This window comes from Homo sapiens, chromosome 15 (genome assembly GCF_000001405.40).
Source record: "Homo sapiens chromosome 15, GRCh38.p14 Primary Assembly".
NCBI lineage: Eukaryota > Metazoa > Chordata > Mammalia > Primates > Hominidae > Homo > Homo sapiens.
The window spans coordinates 84,234,619-84,256,301 of NC_000015.10; the positions used below are offsets into that span (position 1 = coordinate 84,234,619).

At 45.6% G+C, this 21,683-nt stretch overlaps 1 protein-coding gene and 1 pseudogene across 3 annotated transcripts, besides 1 other annotated feature; both read left to right on the forward strand.

Annotated features, from left to right (window-relative positions):
• Window positions 1-1,154: 1,154 nt before the first annotated feature.
• Window positions 1,155-10,740, forward strand: GOLGA6L4 (golgin A6 family like 4). 3 transcript variants are annotated; one of them, XM_017022482.2, is made up of 10 exons: window positions 1,155-1,300; window positions 2,968-3,087; window positions 3,710-3,769; window positions 3,955-4,035; window positions 4,700-4,787; window positions 5,170-5,720; window positions 5,877-6,164; window positions 6,431-6,491; window positions 7,529-7,631; window positions 7,842-10,740. In XM_017022482.2, exons 1-10 carry the CDS (start codon window positions 1,217-1,219, stop codon window positions 7,972-7,974), a joined length of 1,569 nt encoding a protein of 522 aa, XP_016877971.1. In that variant the 5' UTR covers window positions 1,155-1,216; the 3' UTR covers window positions 7,975-10,740. The 3 variants fall into 3 exon arrangements, with proteins under 3 accessions (XP_016877971.1, XP_016877970.1, NP_001254465.2); XM_017022481.2 differs by having other exon boundaries at window positions 5,170-5,707; window positions 5,864-6,164; NM_001267536.3 differs by having other exon boundaries at window positions 5,170-6,164.
• Window positions 11,855-11,994: an enhancer, noted in NCBI's record as "active region_9981". NCBI's record gives its function as "activates an Ori minimal core promoter by ATAC-STARR-seq in GM12878 lymphoblastoid cells {active_cell/tissue: GM12878}" and the evidence as "EXISTENCE:reporter gene assay evidence [ECO:0000049][PMID:35858748]".
• On the forward strand, window positions 13,800-21,414 carry UBE2Q2P8 (UBE2Q2 pseudogene 8; annotated as a pseudogene).

Sequence of the window (21,683 nt, forward strand, 5' to 3'; positions counted from 1 at the left end):
CAAGCAATACACAGTGACATAACAAATTCTTGGTTTTCATGACTGCAAGTGAGAGCCAAGTATCAAGTGAGAAATTCAGCTTCATTTGCAAGGCTTAGAGAGGCCAGGTGATTCTAGAAAAATGGGCCTTGTAATTCTCTTAAACCAGTAAAGAGCTTTAAGTGGTTATTAAATTGAAAGCTTTGTGTTCTTACTTATTTTGTATTTTATTTTATTTCTTTTGAGATGGAGTCTTGCTCTGTCGCCCAGGCTGGAGTGCAGTGGCGTGAGCTTGGCTCACTGCAACCTCCATCTCCTGGGTTCCAGTGATTCTCCTGCCTCAGCCTCCCAAATAGCTGGGATTACAGGCACCCGCAACCACGCCTGGCTAGTTTTTGTATTTTTAGTAGAGACAGGGTTTCATCATGTTGGCCAGGCTGGTCTCGAACTCCTGACCTCAGGCAATCCACCCACCTCGGCCTCCCAAAGTGATGGCATTACAGGCGTGAGCCACTGCACCCGGCCCAAAAGCTTTGTGTTTTTAAAGATATTAGACATGTTTCTTGTTTTTAAAAGAAATCTTAACAATAATGTAGGAGAGTAAGACAAACATTTTTCCAAAAAAGAGAAATTGTTGTGATTATTTTGTCTTATTGGAATGTCGGATACTATAGTCGGCTTCATTAATCATCAAGCATGCTATGGATTTTCCATTTTTATAGGATCTATATCTCAGTTAAGGTAATACTGGTAATTCTTGTACTCCATTTGAAGATGAAAAATATAGGCCAAAATCACAGACTTTGCACAGAAGCTGCATAATGAAGACAGCTCTGGAGGAACACATAGATACACACACACAGACACACATATATATAAAGTATATACACATATATTTTTTAAAGTTTATTTTTTACAGTTTTAAAAGTTTTAAAGCAAAACCCAGCCCTTCCCCTCTCCCAGAGTGGGCGGCCCCTCCCCTTTCTCTGAGTGGGCGGGGACAGCGGTTGCATGGGCAGCTTTCCTTATGATGCCACAGGTCCCTCTGGACATGCTGCTGCCTGGCCACGCCTCCTTTCCCTTTCATCTTTCTCACTGACCAATGGGCTTGGAGCCTTAAGGCCGCGCCCCTATTCTGCGTTCCATTGGTGCCCTGGTTACGCCACCTGTGGCTCAGTTGCACAGCTGCCTGGTAGGTGACTGGAGGCATTGAGCAGTGCTCACTGGTATTTCGCTGATGTGGCCCCAACCCCGCTTCCCTCCCCACCCCGCGATGTCAGAAAAAACACAACAGGGGAAATTGGCCGCAGCCAAGAAAAAGGTAAAACACACCAGGTCATGGCCCCCAACCCAGCCACAGATCCCCTCCGATGACAAGACCTGTGCCAGAGTCCATACCACTCCTGAGGCATACCAGATGGGGCCCCCCAACCCCAGCCCCTCTGGGCTCCCCCAACCAAAGCCTAGTCAGTCAGCCCCACCCCTTCAGCAAGCAGCCCAGTCCCTGCCCTTGCCAATCACCCCAGGGTGACTTTGGGCAGGTGACTCCTGGGGCTCCCTGCTCCATAATCAGCCCTCACCTCCTGCCACCCCAAGCCCAACCTCCCTGGGCTCTTTGGGCTTGCGTCTCCCAGGACCTGGGTCCCCCAGCCCCAGGCCCTGCCCTCACCAGTCATCCCTGGGTGGCTTTGGGCTGGTGACTCCCGGGGCTCCCTACTGCAGACTCTGCCCTCCCCTCCTGCTGCCCCAAGCTCGACCTCCCTAGGCTTCTTGGGCTGGCGTCTCTGAGGACCTGGGTCGAAACCGTGTGTTTCCCTCCCCCATCGTGGAGCAGCGACTCGGGCATCGCGCTGATGTGGTCCCCTCCCCTGGGAGGAGTGGAATGCAATGATGTCACAGTGCCCCTAGGAACTGTCATTACTGCTGCAAGACCGGCCTTTGATCTTACAACCCAGTCCCCTAAGTTTTCTCACCCCATTTCTGGTTCCTCTGGTTGCAGCACAAATTTCCAGCTGGAAGGGGAGTGGAGACTATGGGACCTAGGAGCAAGAGGTTTCAGGCTGCCTTACTCCCTTAACATAGACATTGACAGTGGGAAAAGCCTACACTTCCCCTGTGAGCTCAAAATGTTCACAGTATCTCTGGGTGGCAATGGGAGAATGGGTTTGGTTTGGTTTTTTCCCAGGCTTCTACTTTCCAGAGAGACTTTAACATTTTTTTCTGAGTTCTCCACGGTTCTGGGACCAGACTGCCCTTCAGTCAGTGGCCTCTGAAGTGAGATTTGCTCATCTTCTGTGGAATAGATCTTGGGAAACTGAACTTGACAGCTTGAATCTTCCTCATATCGTCTCAACCTGGGGTACTTTGAGTGCCACAGGATAAATGTGGGACATCTTTCTGAAGCATCATTTTCCCTTGATTCTCTTGAGAAAATGCATTAATGTACTTAGGGATGACAGACACATAGGTTTCCAAGCGTATACCAGACTTCGCTCTGAAATGAGGCTTGGGTTGTCCTCTTTCTGATAAATTCCCAGATTTAATAGAAAAGCTGCCTTCTGCCATGAGGACACATTGATATGAAAGTGTGAGAGGTACTGGTACGCTTCTTCACGCTAGCAGACCTGTGAGGATGTATGACTCTAAACCACACGGCCTACAGTTCCTGCCTGCTTAATGTTTACTTTTCTACCTCTGCCCCTGGTTTTGGTCCCTGGAAGCTGCTGATTCATGGCAAAACCCCAGAGCTTGGAGTCAGAGGACTGAGTTTAAGTTCCAGTATTGCCTTTTTTGATCTTTCTTTTTTTTTTTTTTCTATCCATGATATCAATCCCTCTCAGTCACTAAGTGATTGTGACAACACCTTGTACAGTTGTTGGTGGCATTACATCAGATGGTATATAAGGGTATTTTGTCAAAACTGTAAAGGAGGATGTGGCTGTAGGGGCTGATCATTCTCATGAGTGTTACCGCTCTTCTTTCCCACAGTTAAAAGCATATTGGCAGAGGAAGAGCCCTGGCATTCCAGCAGGAGCTAACAGGAAAAAGAAAATCAATGGCAGTAGCCCTGACACAGCCACTTCTGGTGGTTACCACTCACCTGGGGATGTGAGTCTCGGCGGGCCAGGGTCCTGGGGACAGGGGGCCCAAGGGGCAGTAGAGGGTAATTGTTAAGATTGTAGATGGACTGTTGGGTACTGGTTAAGAATTCTGGATTTGAATCCTGCCTCTCCATCTGCTAAGAATTGATTAGGGATTGATTAGCATATGATTTAGGGCAAGTTGCTTGAGGTCTTTGGGCCTCTCTTTTCACATCTGTATAATAGAGGTGGTATTTTTTGACTTCCATTTGTGAAGTTTAAATGAGATTCGTTATTGTTGCTTTTATGTGAATCCTTAGTACATGGCCTGCTGCAAACACCCAGGACACCGAGGAAATGGTCGTTGCTGTTTGATTTTCCTCATCCCCAGTCTCAAGGGGAAGCCAGGCCAATGAGAAGAGCCACTTGCCATCAGGCTGTCCCTTTAGGAGTCACTGAAAGGGCCCCAGGGTGGGATGGTGGGGAGATAAGAACCACGAGAGAAGTTGGCACAAAGGAGTTATGGGAAAAAGGGTCCAAGATAGGCAGAAAAGAAGCTTTTGCCAGTTGATGGGGGAAGAAAGGAAGTCAGAGGGCTTAGACAGTGAGGGGGGACAGAACATCTCCATGTGCACTCTCATCTCTTGCAGTCAGCAACAGGTATCTACGGGGAGGGCCGTGCATCCTCTACTACCCTGGAGGATCTGGAGGTAAGAGGCCCTGGGCCGAGGTGCAGTGACCCTGCAGGCCAGCCCTCCAACCTCCTCCCACAGCAGGGGCTTGTTGCCCCTCTGCCAGCTGAGGCAGCCCACACACCCCCACCAGCCCTAATGATTATTCTCTCTACCCCTCCCCACAATCTTCCTCCAACTCCTTCTCTCTGCATGCACCTCAGAGCCAGTACCAAGAACTAGCAGTGGCCCTGGATTCAAGCTCCGCAATAATCAGTCAACTCACTGAAAACATCAATTCACTGGTAAGAGTCCAGTGGGGTCCCCTGATTACAGCTGGTCAATCCTGGACTCCAGTTTCCTCTTGGGGCCCTGAAGAAAGGAGCTAGGGGCCCCTGATGCCAAGGGCAAATGGGGAGCTGGGCACCCAGGTCTCACCTGGAGGGACCCCAGAGCACAGAACATGCAGCATGGGTCTTCTGCACTGCCCTCTTTGCTGACTCTCTCTTCTCCAGACACCCCTGCTCTAGTCCTTGCCACACATGCCCTGGGGTTGTCACCTCTCTGGGAAGCACTAGCCTGACTGGTTGTCAGGGGTCCATATTTCTGCCCTGCCTCAGTCCCTAATTTGCTTTTTGAGTCTGGACAAGCCATCTCTCCTCTTTATGCTCGTGTTTCTGGAGGAGGTAGAGAGTATCAAAGGTCTCGGTTAGCTCTGAAAGTCAGAGATTTAAAGGCCCCTAGAATGGAAACCTCAGGGCCAAGGGCTCCTGTCTGTCCTTTGCTGTTTTATATCTCTGCTATGAAGAACTGTACCTGGCCTGTACATGCTCAGTAAATGTTTATTGAATGAATGCACGTTTCTAAATCACAAACTGGCAGAAGGGGGGTGGGCCCTTCTCAAACTCTGTCTCTGGAGGTTCACCAGCCCCTCCCTCCAGGGCCCTTTTCCCCCTTTGCTTTGGGCAGGTTCGCACATCTAAGGAGGAGAAGAAGCATGAGATACATCTGGTACAGAAGCTTGGGAGGAGCTTGTTCAAACTCAAAAACCAGACGGGTAAGATGGGGCTGGCATGACCTGGCAGCTGGACTGGCATTAGAGGGCTGTGGGGGTGACTTAGAATGCCCCAGGGAGGTGGGTGGATGGAAGGGCTTTGAGGCAGAGGGAAAGAGGTCTGTGCCAGGGGAGGACAAGTCTTGTCATCTCCATGAGCCTCAGTGTCCCCATCAGTAAAGAGGGAGGAGTGCCCATTGTCAACCACCCACAGTGCTCTCTATCTGAAAGTGACTTGGAAGACTGGCTACCATCCGGGTGTGAGGAGTCATTAGCAGTGAGGCCAAGTTTGGGAAGCCTGAGAGGAGGAGCTGTGCACCGAAGGGAGGATTTTTTTTTTTTTTTTGAGAATCCAGAGGCCCTTATTGTCTGCTTCCTTTCTCAGCTGAACCCCTGGCCCCAGAGCCCCCAGCAGGGCCATCTAAGGTAGAGCAGCTACAAGATGAGACCAACCACCTAAGGAAGGAGCTAGAGAGTGTGGGAAGACAGCTCCAGGCTGAGGTGGAAAACAATCAGATGTTGAGTCTCCTGAACAGGAGACAGGAGGAGAGGCTACGTGAACAGGAGGAGAGGCTACGTGAACAGGAGGAGAGGCTACGTGAACAGGAGGATAGGCTACATGAACAGGAGGAGAGGCTACGTGAACAGGAGGAGAGGCTGTGTGAACAGGAGGAGAGGCTACGTGAACATGAGGAGAGGCTGTGTGAACAGGAGGAGAGGCTATGTGAACAGGAGGAGAGGCTACGTGAACAGGAGGAGAGGCTACATGAACAGGAGGAGAGGCTACGTGAACAGGAGGAGAGGCTGTGTGAACAGGAGGAGAGGCTACGTGAACAGGAGGAGAGGCTGTGTGAACAGGAGGAGAGGCTACGTGAACAGGAGGAGAGGCTGTGTGAACAGGAGAAGCTGCCAGGGCAGGAGAGGCTGCTGGAAGAGGTGGAGAAGCTGTTAGAACAGGAGAGGCGGCAGGAGGAGCAGGAGAGGCTGCTGGAGAGGGAGAGGCTGCTGGAAGAGGTGGAGAAGCTGTTAGAACAGGAGAGGCAGCAGGAGGAGCAGGAGAGGCTGCTGGAGAGGGAGAGGCTGCTGGAAGAGGTGGAGAAGCTGTTAGAACAGGAGAGGCGGCAGGAGGAGCAGGAGAGGCTGCTGGAGAGGGAGAGGCTGCTGGACGAGGTGGAGGAGCTCCTGGATGAGGTGGAGGAGCTCCTGGAGCAGGAGAGGCTTCGGCAACAGGATGAGAGGCTGTGGCAGCAGGAGACTCTGCAGGAGCTGGAGAGGCTGCGGGAGCTGGAGAGGCTGCGGGAGCTGGAGAGGATGCTGGAGCTGGGGTGGGAAGCCCTGTACGAGCAGCGGGCCGAGCCACGCAGCGGCTTCGAGGAGCTGGTGCGTTGCCCCACCTGGGGAGGCTGCCCTCTTCCCTAGCCCTCAAGGCCTTTGTTTCCCCACCTGTAAAATGGGGCATTGTAGCCTTCACATGAAATGGTACTTCTAAAGGCATCTGTGAGCCAGAGCCCTGCTCTGATGGCTGTGGGAGAGAGGGGATATTTTTCTAACCTGCCTCCACCCTTCCCGGTGCCATGGGAGGCAGACACTAAGTTCTGGGGTCTCCAGTTTTAGTGGGTGGCCACTGATTGCTTCTCTCTGTCCAGAACAACGAGAACAAGAGCACACTGCAGTTGGAGCAGCAAGTAAAGGAGCTGAAGAAGTCGGGTGAGCTGAAAGAGACTGTAACCTCCGACCCATCCAAGAAGATGTGGGAGGCGGGCACCAGCCTCTGGGGAGGGGAGGTGCCAGGCCACAGGCAGCTGCAGCCTGGGGACAGGTGACCCCAGCACCCTCCGGGGCAGTCCTATGACTGTTTCTTGCTTCCTGCCCTCTGACTTTTAGAGGTGGGTAGCCCTGGGGTCCTCCCAGGTCTGGACATCATCATCCCAGCTAGAGGCATGGAGCCCCCCAATCACAGAGGAAGAGACAGTGGTATAAGAGGCTCCTTATGTCGGGTGTGGTGGCTCACGCCTGCAATCCCAGCACTTTGGGAGGCTGAGGCAGGACAATCACTTGAGGTCAGGAGTTTGAGACCAACATGGCCAACATGGTGAAAGCTCATCTCTACTAAAATTAAAAAAAATAATAATAATTAGCCGGGCCTGGTGGTGCATGCCTGTAATCCCAGCTACTCAGGAGGCTGAGACACGAGAATCACTTGAGCCCGGGAGATGAAGGTTGCAGTGAGCTGAGATTGCACCACTGCACTGCAGCCTGGGACACAGAGTGACACTCTCTCAAAACAAAACAAAACAGACAAACAAAAAAGACTCCTTAGATTCAAACTGGATTCCGGCCTCGGTTCCACTGGTCATAATTCAACTACTTTGCATCTCTAAGTCTCTGTTTCTTTAACTTCAAAAGGAAGTTAGCCTTTTCCTTGCAGAGGTGCTGAGGATTAAATGAGATAATACGTGGAAACATTAGGCATGTAGCACACTTAGCAGATGGTGGTTGGCTCCGCCTGCTTTTCCACCAGTCTGTGGCCTACAGTTTAAATGCTGGGAAAAAGGGCGTGAGATTTGATGCTAGGGAAGGAGGCATGGGGTTCTAGGCAAGGGAGACAGTCTCTTAGGCCTGGAGCAAGGGGCCAGGGGCCTGGGCAGGCCACAGAGCCCCACAGTGTCCTCGCTACCCTATTAATGGGCCAGGAATCTGGAAGCCAGCCACCACATGTCCTCATGCCCAGGGTCTTCCGGCAGGTGGAGCTGAAGAGCCAAGAGGCTCCGAGTCTGCAGCAGCAGCCAGACCAGTAGCTGGAGCCCCAGTCCCACAAGGAGCTTGGATGTGCGGACAAGCAGGGTGGTGAGTAGAGCCCTCAGGCGGGGTGGGCAGGCAGGAGCAGGGGAGGCTCGCACTGTGCCCAGATTCCCACCCCCCTCCCTCTCTCTGAAGATCTTAGTGGGCTGAGCCTCACTGATAGCATGGAGGCTGCACCGGGAGAGGACAGGGAGGGTTCTCCCCCATGACAACCCCACTGCACAGCAGATCCAGCAGCTGCTTCCTCTAATGCAGGACTCCCCAGGAGCACCCAGGCTTGAGTGGAGAAGCTGTTGGTACAGGAGAGGCGGCAGGAGGAGCAGGAGAGGCTGCATGCCATTCTTTTCGGGCTGCGGAGAACAGGGAGCTAAACATCACCATCATCTAAGAGCGGGTCAAGGAATTGAAAAAAAAAAACAAAACATTTAAGGGGTTAATATCCTACACAATTCATTTACTTCATTTGAATGTTAGAGCCACTTATGTTTATTTGTGTTTCTAATTTATAGTTTAAATTTATTTGTGTTTCTAATTTATAGTTTAAATTTATTTGTGTTTCTAATTTATAGTTTAAATTTATTTGTGTTTCTAATTTATAATTTAAATTTATTTGTAAAAAGTTAAATGAGAGTGGGTGTTTCTCTCATGTTCACTCTGGCATCTTTTAGCATTTTTTTAATTTGATAATTATAGGACGTTAGCATGCATATCGAGTTTGCCCTTATGTGGTGGGAGTTCAAACACACAAAGACCCACTGTATGCACACAACTGTTCTTGCTGGTTTGGGATAGGCTGCCATGCTTTTTGAATGTTAGTACAGCCTGTATATTCATTACGGAATTCAGATAAAATTTCCTTATGTTCTGCTGTTATGTTTGATCGAATCCTAATCACAGTGAGCTCTTCATTAGCTCAATATGCAGTTTGCCCTCAAGTGCGCGGTCTATTACTTTGTAATATGCCACTGTGAGTACTGACATTTACAGTTGTTTAAAGGTGGAGCACTGGAAACAGCCTTTCCCCCTTTTTCTGTGTATTGGGGATGGGAGTAATAACATTTTGGGGAGGTTTTTAAATCTCCCAGAAGAGGAAAGTGGCCTGCTTTGGCAGGTGTGTGCAGGATAGAATATGTTTCATTTGTTCCGGTGCCAAGAATGAGCGCTGTACTACGGTAGTTCCCTTAGGATTTGTATGTGCTCTGGGCTCATGAAGATACTGCCTCATGAGCTGTGGCAGTTGTACTCTTTTTTGATGACCTGAAAAGGGATTATTTCTGAGGAATGAAAGGCTCCCATCATGACTGTGGATGTGGAAAACCTTTTCTAGCTGAGAGCATTTATATCTACAATACATTTTAAAGTCAGCGTTCATGTTCCCTGTTTTAATCACATGACTACATGTCCCAGTACACAAAAGGGCACTGGTTGGCGTTCTCCTTAATGTATTTAGTAAAGATCAGAAGAAATCCTTTAAGAGTTTAAATGCCCCTGGAACAGGCATATACAGGCTCTAGTCAAGAATGAATTCGAGTGAAGGAAAGCTGTGTGACACCTGGCATTCCTCTGTGTTCATGGAGCTTATTTGAGGCTAGAAGATGGATTTTACCATCTAGACCTCTCTGGCTAATAGCTAGTCTTCAACCATCTGACATAGGAATTTACTTCTTTTCCTTGAATGGAGAACACTTTAAAAATAATAACAAACATTATTATAAACTAATATATGTGAGAGTACTTAGTTGAAACAAAAAGGAGTTTTAGTAGACAGTATTATACTACATTTGAAAATCAAGGAGCAGTTTATGCAACGTAAAATGTTTACAAACTGCAGCGCAATCTACTGTTTGTGACTGTCAAAGTGTCATGAGGAAAGTGTCTATACAATCACAGAGTTATATTTCCTCACAAAGTTCTTTACGAAGAGTGAAATATGTTTTTATACCTCTCAGTTTCAGTTAGAGGCATATTTTGTGTAATATTTATGGCTTAAAATGGACTAAAGGTCCTGTTCTTGCCTTGTCTGAACTTGCCGCTTTTGCATTCTTTGAGTTCAGTTTAAAGACACTTACTTTAACTCCATTTTAAACCCTCGGGCTAGAAATCGTACCACTGTTAATTAGCCACGTTATTTGGTCTAACAGTTTTTGTTTATCATTCTGAAACTGAGCTTATCTAATACATTGATAAATTATTTCAAAGGTATTTTTATAGTTCAAATCGCTTCACTTTTACCCTGACACGTATAAATGAATAGGAATGACCTTCAGATAGCGTTTAGCAACTGTAACCAATCTGACAATAATGTGTTCATCAGGTACCTGTGGATTAAATCACATACTGGCATATTTAAGATGAATGTCAGTCTGAAAAATAAATATACTATATTAATTCAAATACGACTCTTTGTGTAGGTATTTTGTCATATGTTTAAGAAAAAGCTAAAGAGAATGGAAATCCTATGACAATAACTCAAGTCTTTCTTCAAAGTGCATGCAGTCTTTTGCAGTACCTCATTCAGCCAAGTATTTGTTCTCTACCTCATTCAGTATAAGGCAGCCTTTAATTTGCTTAGAAGGCAACATTAGAAGGTTAGAGTTCAGCAGGAACATAGAATTTTAAAATGTGACTTCAACTGAATAAATTTGAATTTCTCTAGGGAGTAAAGAATCAAAACACCTATTTAAAGACTGCAAAATATGATAATTATTTTTAAAGTAATTGATTAAACCTGGTAGGTTTTCCCAAAATGAAAAACAATCAGTTCTAAAACCAAAGCTGATTTTTAGAAAATGTGAAAATGTAAATCAACCCTATCCATAATAGATTCTCTAAAACTTTATCTTACAGTCACTTTCAAATAACTATTCAAAAATGTAACTGCTATATTAACGTCTTAAAATAATTTAAAACATTTTAAAATATGAATACTGTAGTTTAAAACAAAGAATCTAGGGGAAGGAAAAGTAGACAAAGAAATGCCAATTCCAGTCCAAAGCTGTATTTGCCAAGTTTTCTTAGAATGACTTTTACCGATTTATGAATTCTTATACACAGAATGCATAATGGAAATACTGATTTTTGTCTAAAGTGGCATTATTGACTGCTTCTGTGATGCTACTGTAATGTAATACATTATTAAATTGTTTCAAGGTGCTGTTTTGCCTAAAAATTTTGTGTGTCTTGAAAACTATAGTATTGGGTATTGAGACTCTGCAAATTCTCGGCATGCTTGGCATGAGGTAATCGGTTTTTATTCTTACAAAATTGTAACTATGTAAGTGTGTTTATTAAAAGAACACAAACTAAAAAAGTTAACAGAAATTAAAGTTGTGGGATGAAAAAGTTACAGGATAAAAAAATACTGTGGAAAAGTGGCAAAAAAAAGTTGTGGAAAAAAAGTAAAAAAAAAGTTTTATGAAAAGTTATTTTAAAAAGTTATGAAAAATTAGTTACAGGATTTAAAAAAAGTCATGGGATAAAAATAAAAATAAATAAAAGCAGGCCCCTGTCAGCATAAGCCTGGAGAAGTGGGTCTGGAGTCTTCACCCCCACCATGTCCCTACAACCCCTCCCCAGTCAGCCCTTTACCATTAGGGTAGCAAGACAAGACCCTTGTCTAATGGAGGGAGACAAACAGACCCTTTACCACCTTGACCAAGGCTGAGTCCTTACATTTCTGGATGATGATGTTTGTTATTTAAGAGCCAGAGGTTGGTGGAGTTGGTTTGTTTGGAGGAGGTCTGACGGCCTTCTTACTCTCACCAAAGCAACTTTTCCCTCAGGGGGGCTCCCATCTTCTTACTCAGAGAGGCAGCTGAGGCGGGACAGTGGAGTTAACTGTAGACCAGGCCAGGGCACAGGCTGCTGGGGGTGGCCCCCCTTCCCCCGTGTACATACTGTAGCTGTGTAACATTCTGTATCGTACCTAGCGGAGGTTGCAGCTGGCATATGAGGAAGAGGTTCTTATAATTATTCGCGGCTGGGAAACTTATTTATTGCTAGCATAGGAGCGAGGAAGGAGGCGGGGATGGGGTCATGGCTCCCTGGTGATGGGACTCCTGTTTTTGGTTTGTTGTTGTTTTGCTTTTGATTTTGGAATAAATGGATTTAGCCATACTGCTCGGCCTGTTATGTTCCCGTTTCCCTCACTGGGTCCTGCAGTTTGTCCCACTCAACGAGGAGCCCCAGAGTGTTTCAGCATGTCCAGCTGGGCTGTGGGGAATCTTCCAGGCCTGTTACCTGTATGCTGCCTGGTGACACCTGGTGGATTTCACGGGGACTGCCATGGCACCTACGGAGTACAGTCCGGCCCTGACAGTCAACAGGTTGAGAAGCCTGATCTAGCTGTGGCAGGGAAGACAGATACCAGTGCCCAAGGGCACTGACTTCCATCCACCCCAGGTGTCTTCCGTTCCATCCCCCTCCTCCCGTTCCTGTCTGCACCAGGTGGCCTGTCTGTCCCTCCAGAGTGCCGGCTGCCCCACAGGCTCCTTCCAGGCTGAGTTCAGGGCCCTGTCCCCTAGTGGCCAGAGCCGGCTTCACAGGATAAGAGCCAGCTGAGCTCCAGGGACTTTCCAGGAAAAGTGTCCCTTGAAAAGGGTGTGACCTTTTCACTGTTCCCAACAACACCCTAAAAATGGCTTGGCCTTTTCCATCCCCTGAGCTCCATAGAGAACACAGCCAGCAGAGGACACATTCTCTGTCATCCAGAAATGGGTTTCTCAGCCGAGGGACAGCAGGACTGGTAGAGACTGTCAGGCCACACAGCTGCCTGCACAGCACCGCCATGCTTGGCCAGAAGGGCGGGAGGGATGGCGGGGGCTGGCTCTCCACAGGCCGCGCATGTCCCGGAAGCTCACTGGAGGTGGTGCACTTTGGAGGGGCGATGTCAGGAGACAGCTTCCTCTTGCTGGGCTACAAGACTCCACAAGCACAGCACGGGGACTGATTCCCAGTGCTAGAGGTGAGGCAGTTGGCCACGTGTATATATGTATATATGTGTGTGTGTGTGTGTGTGTGTGTGTGTTTGTGTATGTGTGTGTGAGAATTTATAGCTATAGAACAGGGCAGGGGCATACCACAGAGGAGGCACAAGTTTTCAGCAACGGTCACACCTGGACGTGTCAGCTCACCACTACAACAGACTAAGTCACAGATGAAGGGGGCTGGCTTTGGGGCTGGGGGAGCCACTGTCAAGTCACAGGACACCCGCCCAGGCAGGCTTGGAAAGGGAGGTCTCTGGGAAGAGGGATCTGTTTAGACGTCGAAGTGGGGCCTGGGGCTCCCTGGATGGGATGGACTTGCCTGACCCGATCAGCTGGCAGTTGGAGAGAAAGCAGAGAGAAAACGGGTTAGAGAAAAGCCAGAGCTGGTGAGGCAAGTGCAGAGTATGGGTGCGCTGCAGCAGCTGTGGAGGGCCGGGGAGGGGAGGGCGTACGTGTGGGCGTGGCAAGGTTCCTGGAAAAGAGGGGCTGGAAGGAAAAGGGGAGGGAGATGGAGGGAGAAGCTGGAGCTTCATAGGTAGTGCCTGGGGACTGCGGCGGCCCTCCCTACCCCACACACGCTGGCCTGTCTCATGGAACCCAGGCAATCCACCCATCCACCCACAGTTCAGACCAATGCCAGCTCCCTCGGGCTTCCCTCTTCTGTGGTCCCCATGTCTTCCAACCCACTGGCCCAGGGCCACCTCTTGCTTGGAGAGCCCCATCCAACAGCCACCAGGCCTGATAGAGAAGGAACACTGCCTGAACCAAAATGGTGGAGCTATAAGGGATGGCTGGCTGGAGTGGTCGCCAGAGGCCCCTCTGGGCCATCAGAAAACCCAGGGTCCTCTGAGGGACCCTAGGGAAGGCAGGGAGGGCAGGTAGCCAGATGGCACTGGCCATAGACATATAAGTCTAAGAGGGGAGCCTCAACTGGTTGGCGGGGGGCTGCAGGTTGCATAGGTGAGGCTGGGCCTTTCCTGCTGGGAAAAGCAGAAGAGGAAGGCTAACTTTTGTGTTGTTTAGTAGAGAGTGGGTTTCACCATGGTGGCCAGGCTGGTCTCAAACTCCTGACCTCAAATGACCCATCTCTGCCTCCCAAAGTTCTGGGATTACAGGCCTGAGCCACCGCGCCCGGATCCAAGGCCCTTAAGCTTAAATGCCTCGTTCTTCAGTCAGGTTTTCCTTGTTCCCGCATGTTCAGCCAATCGTGTTTAAGGAGAAACTAACAATGAAAACGGACTCGTTGATGGAGGAAAAGTTGGAATGCAGCCTCTGGTGCTGTTTGAGCGATCCCTCTACCCCGGGTCGCTGCTGTGTTCTGGAAAGGCGCATTGTACCCTGGATGCGGCAGGTAAGAGTCCTGTCCAGGTGCTCTGCCCGCTTTTCCTTTCAGGCTTCTGTATCATCTATTTTTCCCCTGTAGAATGTGCCCCTGACAGCCACCCCCTAACCCTACCCAATTTGTCTTTACGTGTCTGACCATCAAGGCTCTTCTGGGTCATATTTAATTCATGCTGATATTTCCCCTTCCTCCCCTCTTTAGTCCTCACTATTTTTGCTTTGGTCATGTTATGCCTTATTCTATAAGGCTTTAAAAAATTTTTTTATGGTGGCAGGGGAGAATATAATTATGCTTTGTGCTTTTTATCTTCCACTCAATAAATGCTTGGTAAATATTTGTTTTATTGAACGTATGAGCCTATTCTAGCTATATTGTGCTTGAACAAAAATCTTAACTGCCTTGTAAGTTAACTGCTAAGAATTTGTCAGAAGTGCAGACATAACATCAAGAACTTGTCATGGATAGTACAAAAAGGTCTCTAAGGGCTTGATGGAGGCCTGTAAATTGACTTCCTATGAAAGAGAGTGTAAGAAGTGAAAATGTAAAGCATGACTGGAGAGCCAGAGTGATGAAGCCAGGGTCCCTTTCTCCAGATCCTTTGTAACAGTGTTATGTGATCTCTTCTAGAAGATCGTTCTGAAAGATAATGCCAACTCGGAACCTAGGAAACCACCTAGTGGGTTTCTGCAGCTTAGGTGTTTCAAATCCTCATCAGCACGTTTGTTTTCTCTGCCTCAGTTTGCTTACAATGATGTTCTCAGTAGCTATAACTGCTGTCTGTCTTTGAATACTTAAGCATTTTTTTTAGATGACAGGGATATATGTGCATTTTTATTTTACCAAGTGTTAGAATTTTGACTCTGCTTTTGTGGGCTCTGGGTTAGCTACGTGGTTGTTGTAAAATGATTAGCAGGGAAAACCGTGTGTGTCTGTGTGTGTGTGTGTGTGTGTGTGTGTGTGTGTGTGTGTGTGTGTGTGTGTATTTTAAGTTTCTTTTGTTGTCAGAGGACTTCGAATTTTATTTTATATGGTAATTCTGTCAATTTACTTTATTCTCCACCCCACATTTATCGAACAGCAAAGTATGAAAGTAATGTGTCCCATAAGCAGCCTTCAGAAGAATTACAACTGCTGTATATCTGAAATTCTTTTTTTTATTTTTTATTTTGAGATGGAGTCTCACTCTATCACCCAGGCCAGAGTACAGTGGTGCGATCTTGCCTCACTGGAACCTCTGCTGCCCAGGTTCAAGCAATTCTCCTGCCTCAGCCTCCTGAGTAGCTGGGATTACAGGCACCTGCCACCGCACCTGGCTAATTTTTGCAGTTTTAGTAGGGACAGGTTTCACCATGTTGGCCAGGCTGGTCTTGAATTCCTGACCTCGTGATCTGCCTGCATCGGCCTCCCAAAGTGCTGGGATTACAGGCGTGAGCTACCGCGCCCGGCTGAACTTTCAATAAGAAGTTTGTGCGTCAGTTTTCAAAAAATTATGATATCAAAAGATAGCTGTGCCCTACATTTGGAAAGATACAAAAACTGAACATACTAGCAGGCAGTTTTGCTTGCTGGTGCTTGAGATAGGGGCACACATTGGTCTCAGTGGAATTATGGAGAAAAATAGATACAGAAAGTTATTTCTAAATAAGACCAAAACATCCTTTTCTTAAGCAGTGACAGGTAAAGAGGTTGTCTTGGCTAACCTTGAATTGTGTTGCCCTTGATTGAGACAGTTTTATGGTGGGGATGGTAGTGGTGATAAACTTGCTGGAAATTTGTCTGCTGATGGTAACCTTTGTGGTAGCTGTCACAGACAACTTCATCCTCACGGGCCTTGAAATTAGTATAAAACTAACAGAATGGAGGAGAAACAAAGGACCTGAATAATCAGATGCTTAGATAATTGTTCTGTGTTTTCATAATCGGTGAAGAAGAACAGTGTTAGGAACACTTAAACATTCCATGGAAGGAACACTGCCTGAATTTATATTGTGATTTTTGAGCATCATTCACTGTTTAAAAACAGGCATATTATAGGTAATATTTTAAAGACAAATAGAAAACTTATCTTTTCAAGATGGATCTAAAACTTAAACTTATCAAAATTACAAAATATAAAGCATACTATTGAAAAATATTAATGCATAGGTTTAAATATTGGTCATCATTTTAGATGTCTTTCAAAATAGATTGTTTCTTAAATATTAAACTGAAAACATTGAACATGTTGTAGAGTTTGTGCTCAAGGTTAAGTTTCCTGGGGTGATGGATATTTTATAATATGGATAACAAAAACTTCTTAAGAAATTTAGAAAATTTTTAGGCAAAACTAGAACATAATACCAATAATTCTACCACTCAGAATGTACCACTGTCAGAATTTTGTATCTTTCCCATCATCTGCTCATCTCTTTTCTCCTTTGCTTGTGTGTGTTCCCTCTCCCTTAAAAAATCAGATTTTTTTTGTAACCTGCTTTTTCACTCAACAATATTGTAGATCCGTGTCATAAGTTACTCATCTACAGTGCCTTCAGTTATTGTGTGCTTTGTGTTGGATGACTATACCATCTAGTCATTCGCGTTTTCTGGTACTGAATACATAGGAGTGAGTGAGTGAGTGTTTGTGTTTGTGTGTGTGTGTGTGTGTGTGTGTGTTTTCTACCTTAACTAATGCTTTAGACATCAATAGGTAGAGCTAAATCTTTGAAACCTTCCCTGTGGTCGCTTTCAGTTCTCATTGCTGAATTGGTTTCTAGAGATGGAACAAATTATATTGTATGGAAAAAAACATTTTTTTGAGACGAAGTCTCACTCTTGTCACCCAGGCTGGAGTGCAATGGCATGATCTTGGCTCACTAAAACCTCCGCCTCCCAGGTTCAAGTGATTCTCCTGCCTCAGCCTCCTGAGTAGTTGGGATTACAGGTGGCTGCCACCATGCCTGGCTAATTGTTCTATTTTTAGTAGAGATGGGGTTTCACCATGTTGGCCAGGCTGTTCTGGAACTCCTGACCTCGGGTGATCCACTCACCTTGGCCTCCCAAAGTGCTGGGATTGCAGGCATGAGCCACCACACCCAGCCTTTTTTTCTTCTAGGTACCAGCTTTTATTTATCAGATTGGTAAAAATGTCAGAAAGTGTGCAATGAAATGGGCATTCTCACAGTCATGGCAGAAAGTATAATTAACTTTGACTTTCTAGAAAGCAGTCTGGCATTCTAGAAACTTGCCTAACCTCTTCCCATTTAGGCAAGATGAATTCTGACTATCCCTAGGTGGCCAATCTTGTCCCTGTGATTCCATATCTCCCAGAAAGAGAGGTCTAGTCTCAGGGAAAACCCAGATTTTCTTGGCTTAGCCCACCTGAGAGCTAATCACTGGAAATGAGGTGGGCGGGTAGAGTCCTTTGGTCAGGTTTTGTGTCAAGAGCGGGATGTGGAAAGATGGGAGAGAGGTAGCAAAACTGGCCTCAATAGAACTGTGTAAGTTAACATAGAATGGCAAAGGAATGTTTCTTCCAAGGAAGAAATTCTAGGGAAGGAAGAAAGTGGAGGGGAAGGCAGCAGTTCTCAAAGTTTTGGGGTCAGGATTCCTTTACACTCTTAAAAGTATATTGAGGGCCCAAGGAGCTTTTCTGTATATAGGTTATATCTATTGGTATTTATCACTAGAAATTAAATCAGAAATATTTAGAATATTCTTTAAAAGCTCACCAAATTTTGTTATAAATGCTTTTATGAAAAGAAAATTTCTAAACCCAAAGTAGTACAATCTTACACCTTTTGCAAATTTCGTTGATGTTTGATACGTCATTTGCATTTCCATTCAATTTATTGTGTGATATTTGCTTGAAAAAATGTGAACAAAGGCCAATCTGATACAGATAGCCATTTTAGATCATTATGGATATTTCTTTTTTTTTTTTTTTTTTTTTTTGAGATTGGGTCTTTGTCTCCCAGGCTGGAATGCAGTAGTATGATCACGGCTCACTGGAGCCTCAGTGTCTGGGGACTCAGGTGATCCTCCCACCTCAGCCTCCAGAGTAGCTGGGACTACAGATGTGTACTACCCCACCTAGCTAATTGTTTGTATTTTTTGTAGAGACAGAGTTTTGCCATGTTGCCTTGGCTTCTTTTTTGATACTCCATCAAAAATTGATTTTTCTTGAACTTTGGATCTTTTACCCTTGCATGGTATTATAACATCATGCATTGTTCAGTTCAGTTCAAAAATAATGGTTCACTGAGATCTTCTATATGTTGATACATTTGATTGTACAATATCAAAATACACTCATCAATATCACCATCAGTCTCATCAGAATACTTTTGGAAAGCGATGGTGGATATAAGTTTTCTAAAATTCTAATTTTTTGTTCAAAAGCTTGAGTTTTAGTATTAGCAATTTTATTGTTGAAATTTATTATGGCCTGTCTGTTGTTTTCCTTGAAATAACAGAATCTCCTTTTTTGAGAAAATGTCTCCCAAAACCCAAGCTGAAATAACATTTTTTGTCAGCCATCTTTTGGAATAAAAATGATATTCCATTAAAGTGGTTAATTCACTTCATGACTTAGTCTCATGAGGGTTTTTTCTCTGACAGTCTGTAGGTGTGCTCATGTATACTTCCCATTTCATCACTTGAAATATTAAAAAGATATATTCAAGGATTAAGATGTAAATTTTTCACTGCTTCATCATAGACATTGTTTTTATTTTTGAGACGGCCTTGTTCTGTCACCCAGGCTGGAGTGCAGTAGCATGATCACAGCTCACTGTAGCCTCAACCTTCTGGGCTCAATCAATCCTCCTGCCTCAGCCTGCCAAGTAGCTGGGACTGCAGTCATGCAACCACCATGTCCAGCTAATTTTTGTATTTTTAGTAGAGACGGGCTTTCACCGTGTTGGCCAGGCTGCTCTCAAACTCTTGACCTCAGGTGATCTGCCCGCCTTGGCCTTCCAAAGTGCTGGGATTACAGGCGTGAGACACCGTGCCCAGCCCTCCCTTCCTTTTTACACCTTTAAACCTTTCCCGTGCACAGTAGTCATACCATGACTACTAGTAGTTTGGTGTTACTGCCTTTATTTATGCTAAAGTACCAGCATTTTTACCCACCATTGCATCTGCACCCTTACAGCAAATGTCACCATGTTAGTATTCCTGTCAAAACAGTTTGGACCTGGGGGTCTGAGGGCTGCACTTTGGGAACCACTGAAATAGGTACTTAAACCTACTATATATCATATCTTTTCATCTACAAGATTTTTAAAAACTTGATTTCAGTTAATGTTTTTGTAGTTTTTAAAATATGGTTTTGAGGGGTTTCAGTCCAGAGCAGCAACATGTATTCTACTTTGCTTATGCTGAAGTTTACTAGACAAATACTAACCTAATAGAATGAGGTCGTAAATCTAGTTGCATTTTCTTTAGCCAAAAAAAAAACCCAAACTAAAAATTTAAAAATGGTCCATATGGTGTATTCCCAATGTATGCTGAAGAATTTGAAGAAGAAAATGCAATAGTCAGTAAGTGGTATTCTTTAAGAATAGCATTGGGCCAGGCACGGTGGCTCACACCTGTAATCCCAGCACTTTGGGAGGCTGAGGCAGGTGGATCAGGAGATCAGGAGATCGAGACCACCCTGGCTAACACAGTGAAACCCCGTCTCTACTAAAAAACAAAAAATAAGCCGGACGTGGTGGCAGGTGCCTATAGTCCCAGCTACTCTGGAGGCTAATGCAGGAGAATGGCATGAACCCAGGAGGTGGAGCTTGCCGTGATCTGAGATCGTGCCACTGCATCCAGCCTGGGTGACAGAGCGAGACTCTGTCTCAAAAACAAAACGAAACAAAAAGAATAGGATTCATTCTGAAGAGTTTCTTTTAGCCTGTAAAAAGATTTGGGACACTGTAAGAGAGGAATGAGAAGAATGAGAATAGTGAAATAAATCATTATTGAAGAGATAGACTGTTAATGATGTCCTCCTTCAATACAACTTGTTTTTCTTTTCCTTTTTATTTTATTTACTTATTTTTTTTTTTTTGAGATGGAGTCTTGCTCTGTCACCAGGCTGGAGTGCAGTGGCGCATCTCAGCTCACTGAAACCTCTGCCTCCCGGGTTCAAGCGATTCCGCTGCCTCAGCCTCTTGAGTGGCTGGGACTATAGGCATGAGCCACCATGCCTGGCTAGTTGTTTTTATTTTGGTAGAGACAGGGTTTCACCATGTTAGCCAGGATGTCTCAATCTCCTGCCTCGTGATCCACCCACCTTAGTCTCCCAAAGTGCCCAGATTGCAGGCGTGAGCCACCGCACCCGGCCAACTTGTTTTTCTGGTTTTCCGTGGTTTTCATGGTTTTCTGGTTTTCTTGGTTTTCCTTGACTTGAACCTAGTTCTTCTGAAGCTAATATATAATAACAATTGCTTTTCGCCAATTTCTAATAGAAGACAGTACAATGCAACAGAGTAAATGTCTATTAGTGGGTGAAAGTGCATAATGCTTAGTTCATTAGCTTTTTAAAAAATCACATGTAATTGTGTCCCAAAAATATATGTATAATGCATTTATTCGTATTACTTGGTTTGTGTGATAGAATAAAATGTACGAATTTTATGGTGTTTGAATTAGTTATCTATTGCTCTGTAACAAATTGAGCAGCTTAAAACAACAAACATTATCTCACAGTTTCTGTGGGTCAGGATTCTGTCCAGTTTACCTTGGGTTCACTGGCTTGGCCTCTCACCAGGCAGTGAAGGTGTTGGTGGTGGCTGTGATCATCCCAAGGCAGGATAGGGAGAGAATCTGTCTCCAAGCTCAGGTTGGCAGGATTCATCTCAGAGGCTGCTGGACTGGGCCTCCGTTTCTAGATGGCTATTGGTCAGAGGCCTTTTACAATACCTTGTCACGTGGGCCTCTCCATAGGGCACCTCATCACATGGCAACTGGCTTCCATCAGAGGGAGCAATGGAAAGAGCAGGAGAAGGGTGACCAAGGCAGGCATCGTAGTCTCCTTGTAGCCTCACCTCAGAAGTGATGTTATTACTTTTGCTGTATTCTCTTTGTTAGAAGTGAGTCACTAGGTCCAGGGGTGGAATTTTACAAGGGTGTGAATGGCAGGAGGTGAGGGTGATCAGGGCCGTTTAGAGGCTGCCTACCAGTGTTGAAGAAAATTGTTGACTTCTATGAGCTGTAGCAGCAGACAGTGCTATGCAAGGAGAATGGCTGTCTCAGAAGTCCAGCTCCTCACATGGGTTTAAACGTGTTGCCTTTTCCCCCATACATTTTGTTTAAATCCATGGTCATCTTGCCATTTAGTGGTGTGGTTTAATTGCATATTTGGGTTAGTCTGTATGTAAACATTTAACATAGGTGTCTCTGGGTTAAACAGGAATCCTATTCATCTTCTTCACCGATATGGTTTGTGGACTCTGATGAGCCAAATCTGACATCAGTTTTGGAATGTCTAGAAGATGCTAAGAACAACAATTCGGTGAGGAAAGAAGCCAAGCTGTTTTCTCTTTTCCTTATAAACATTATATTTAGAAATTAAATGTTAAGAGATAATATGATAAAAAACATGATTAATAACTATAAACTTAGAGGAATTAAAGTCTGGGTATTTTAAGTCCTCCAAATCTTATTTACTACCTGGTTTCTCTTTATTATTTCCCACATGTATAACCTTAGTTTAGATTAGCAATTTGGGATCTCTTTTTCCCTGAATTCTAACCATTAAGCCAAGCAAGCATTTTGGGTGGAGACCACTAGCCAAGGTGG

Coding starts and splice junctions, on each gene's coding strand:
- GOLGA6L4 (NM_001267536.3), top strand. CDS start 1,217: ATGTGGCCCCAACCCCGCTTCCCTCCCCACCCCGCGATGTCAGAAAAA. Junction 4,036..4,699: donor CTGAAAACATCAATTCACTG/GTAAGAGTCCAG, acceptor TGCTTTGGGCAG/GTTCGCACATCTAAGGAGGA. Junction 6,492..7,528: donor AAAGGAGCTGAAGAAGTCGG/GTGAGCTGAAAG, acceptor GTCTTCCGGCAG/GTGGAGCTGAAGAGCCAAGA.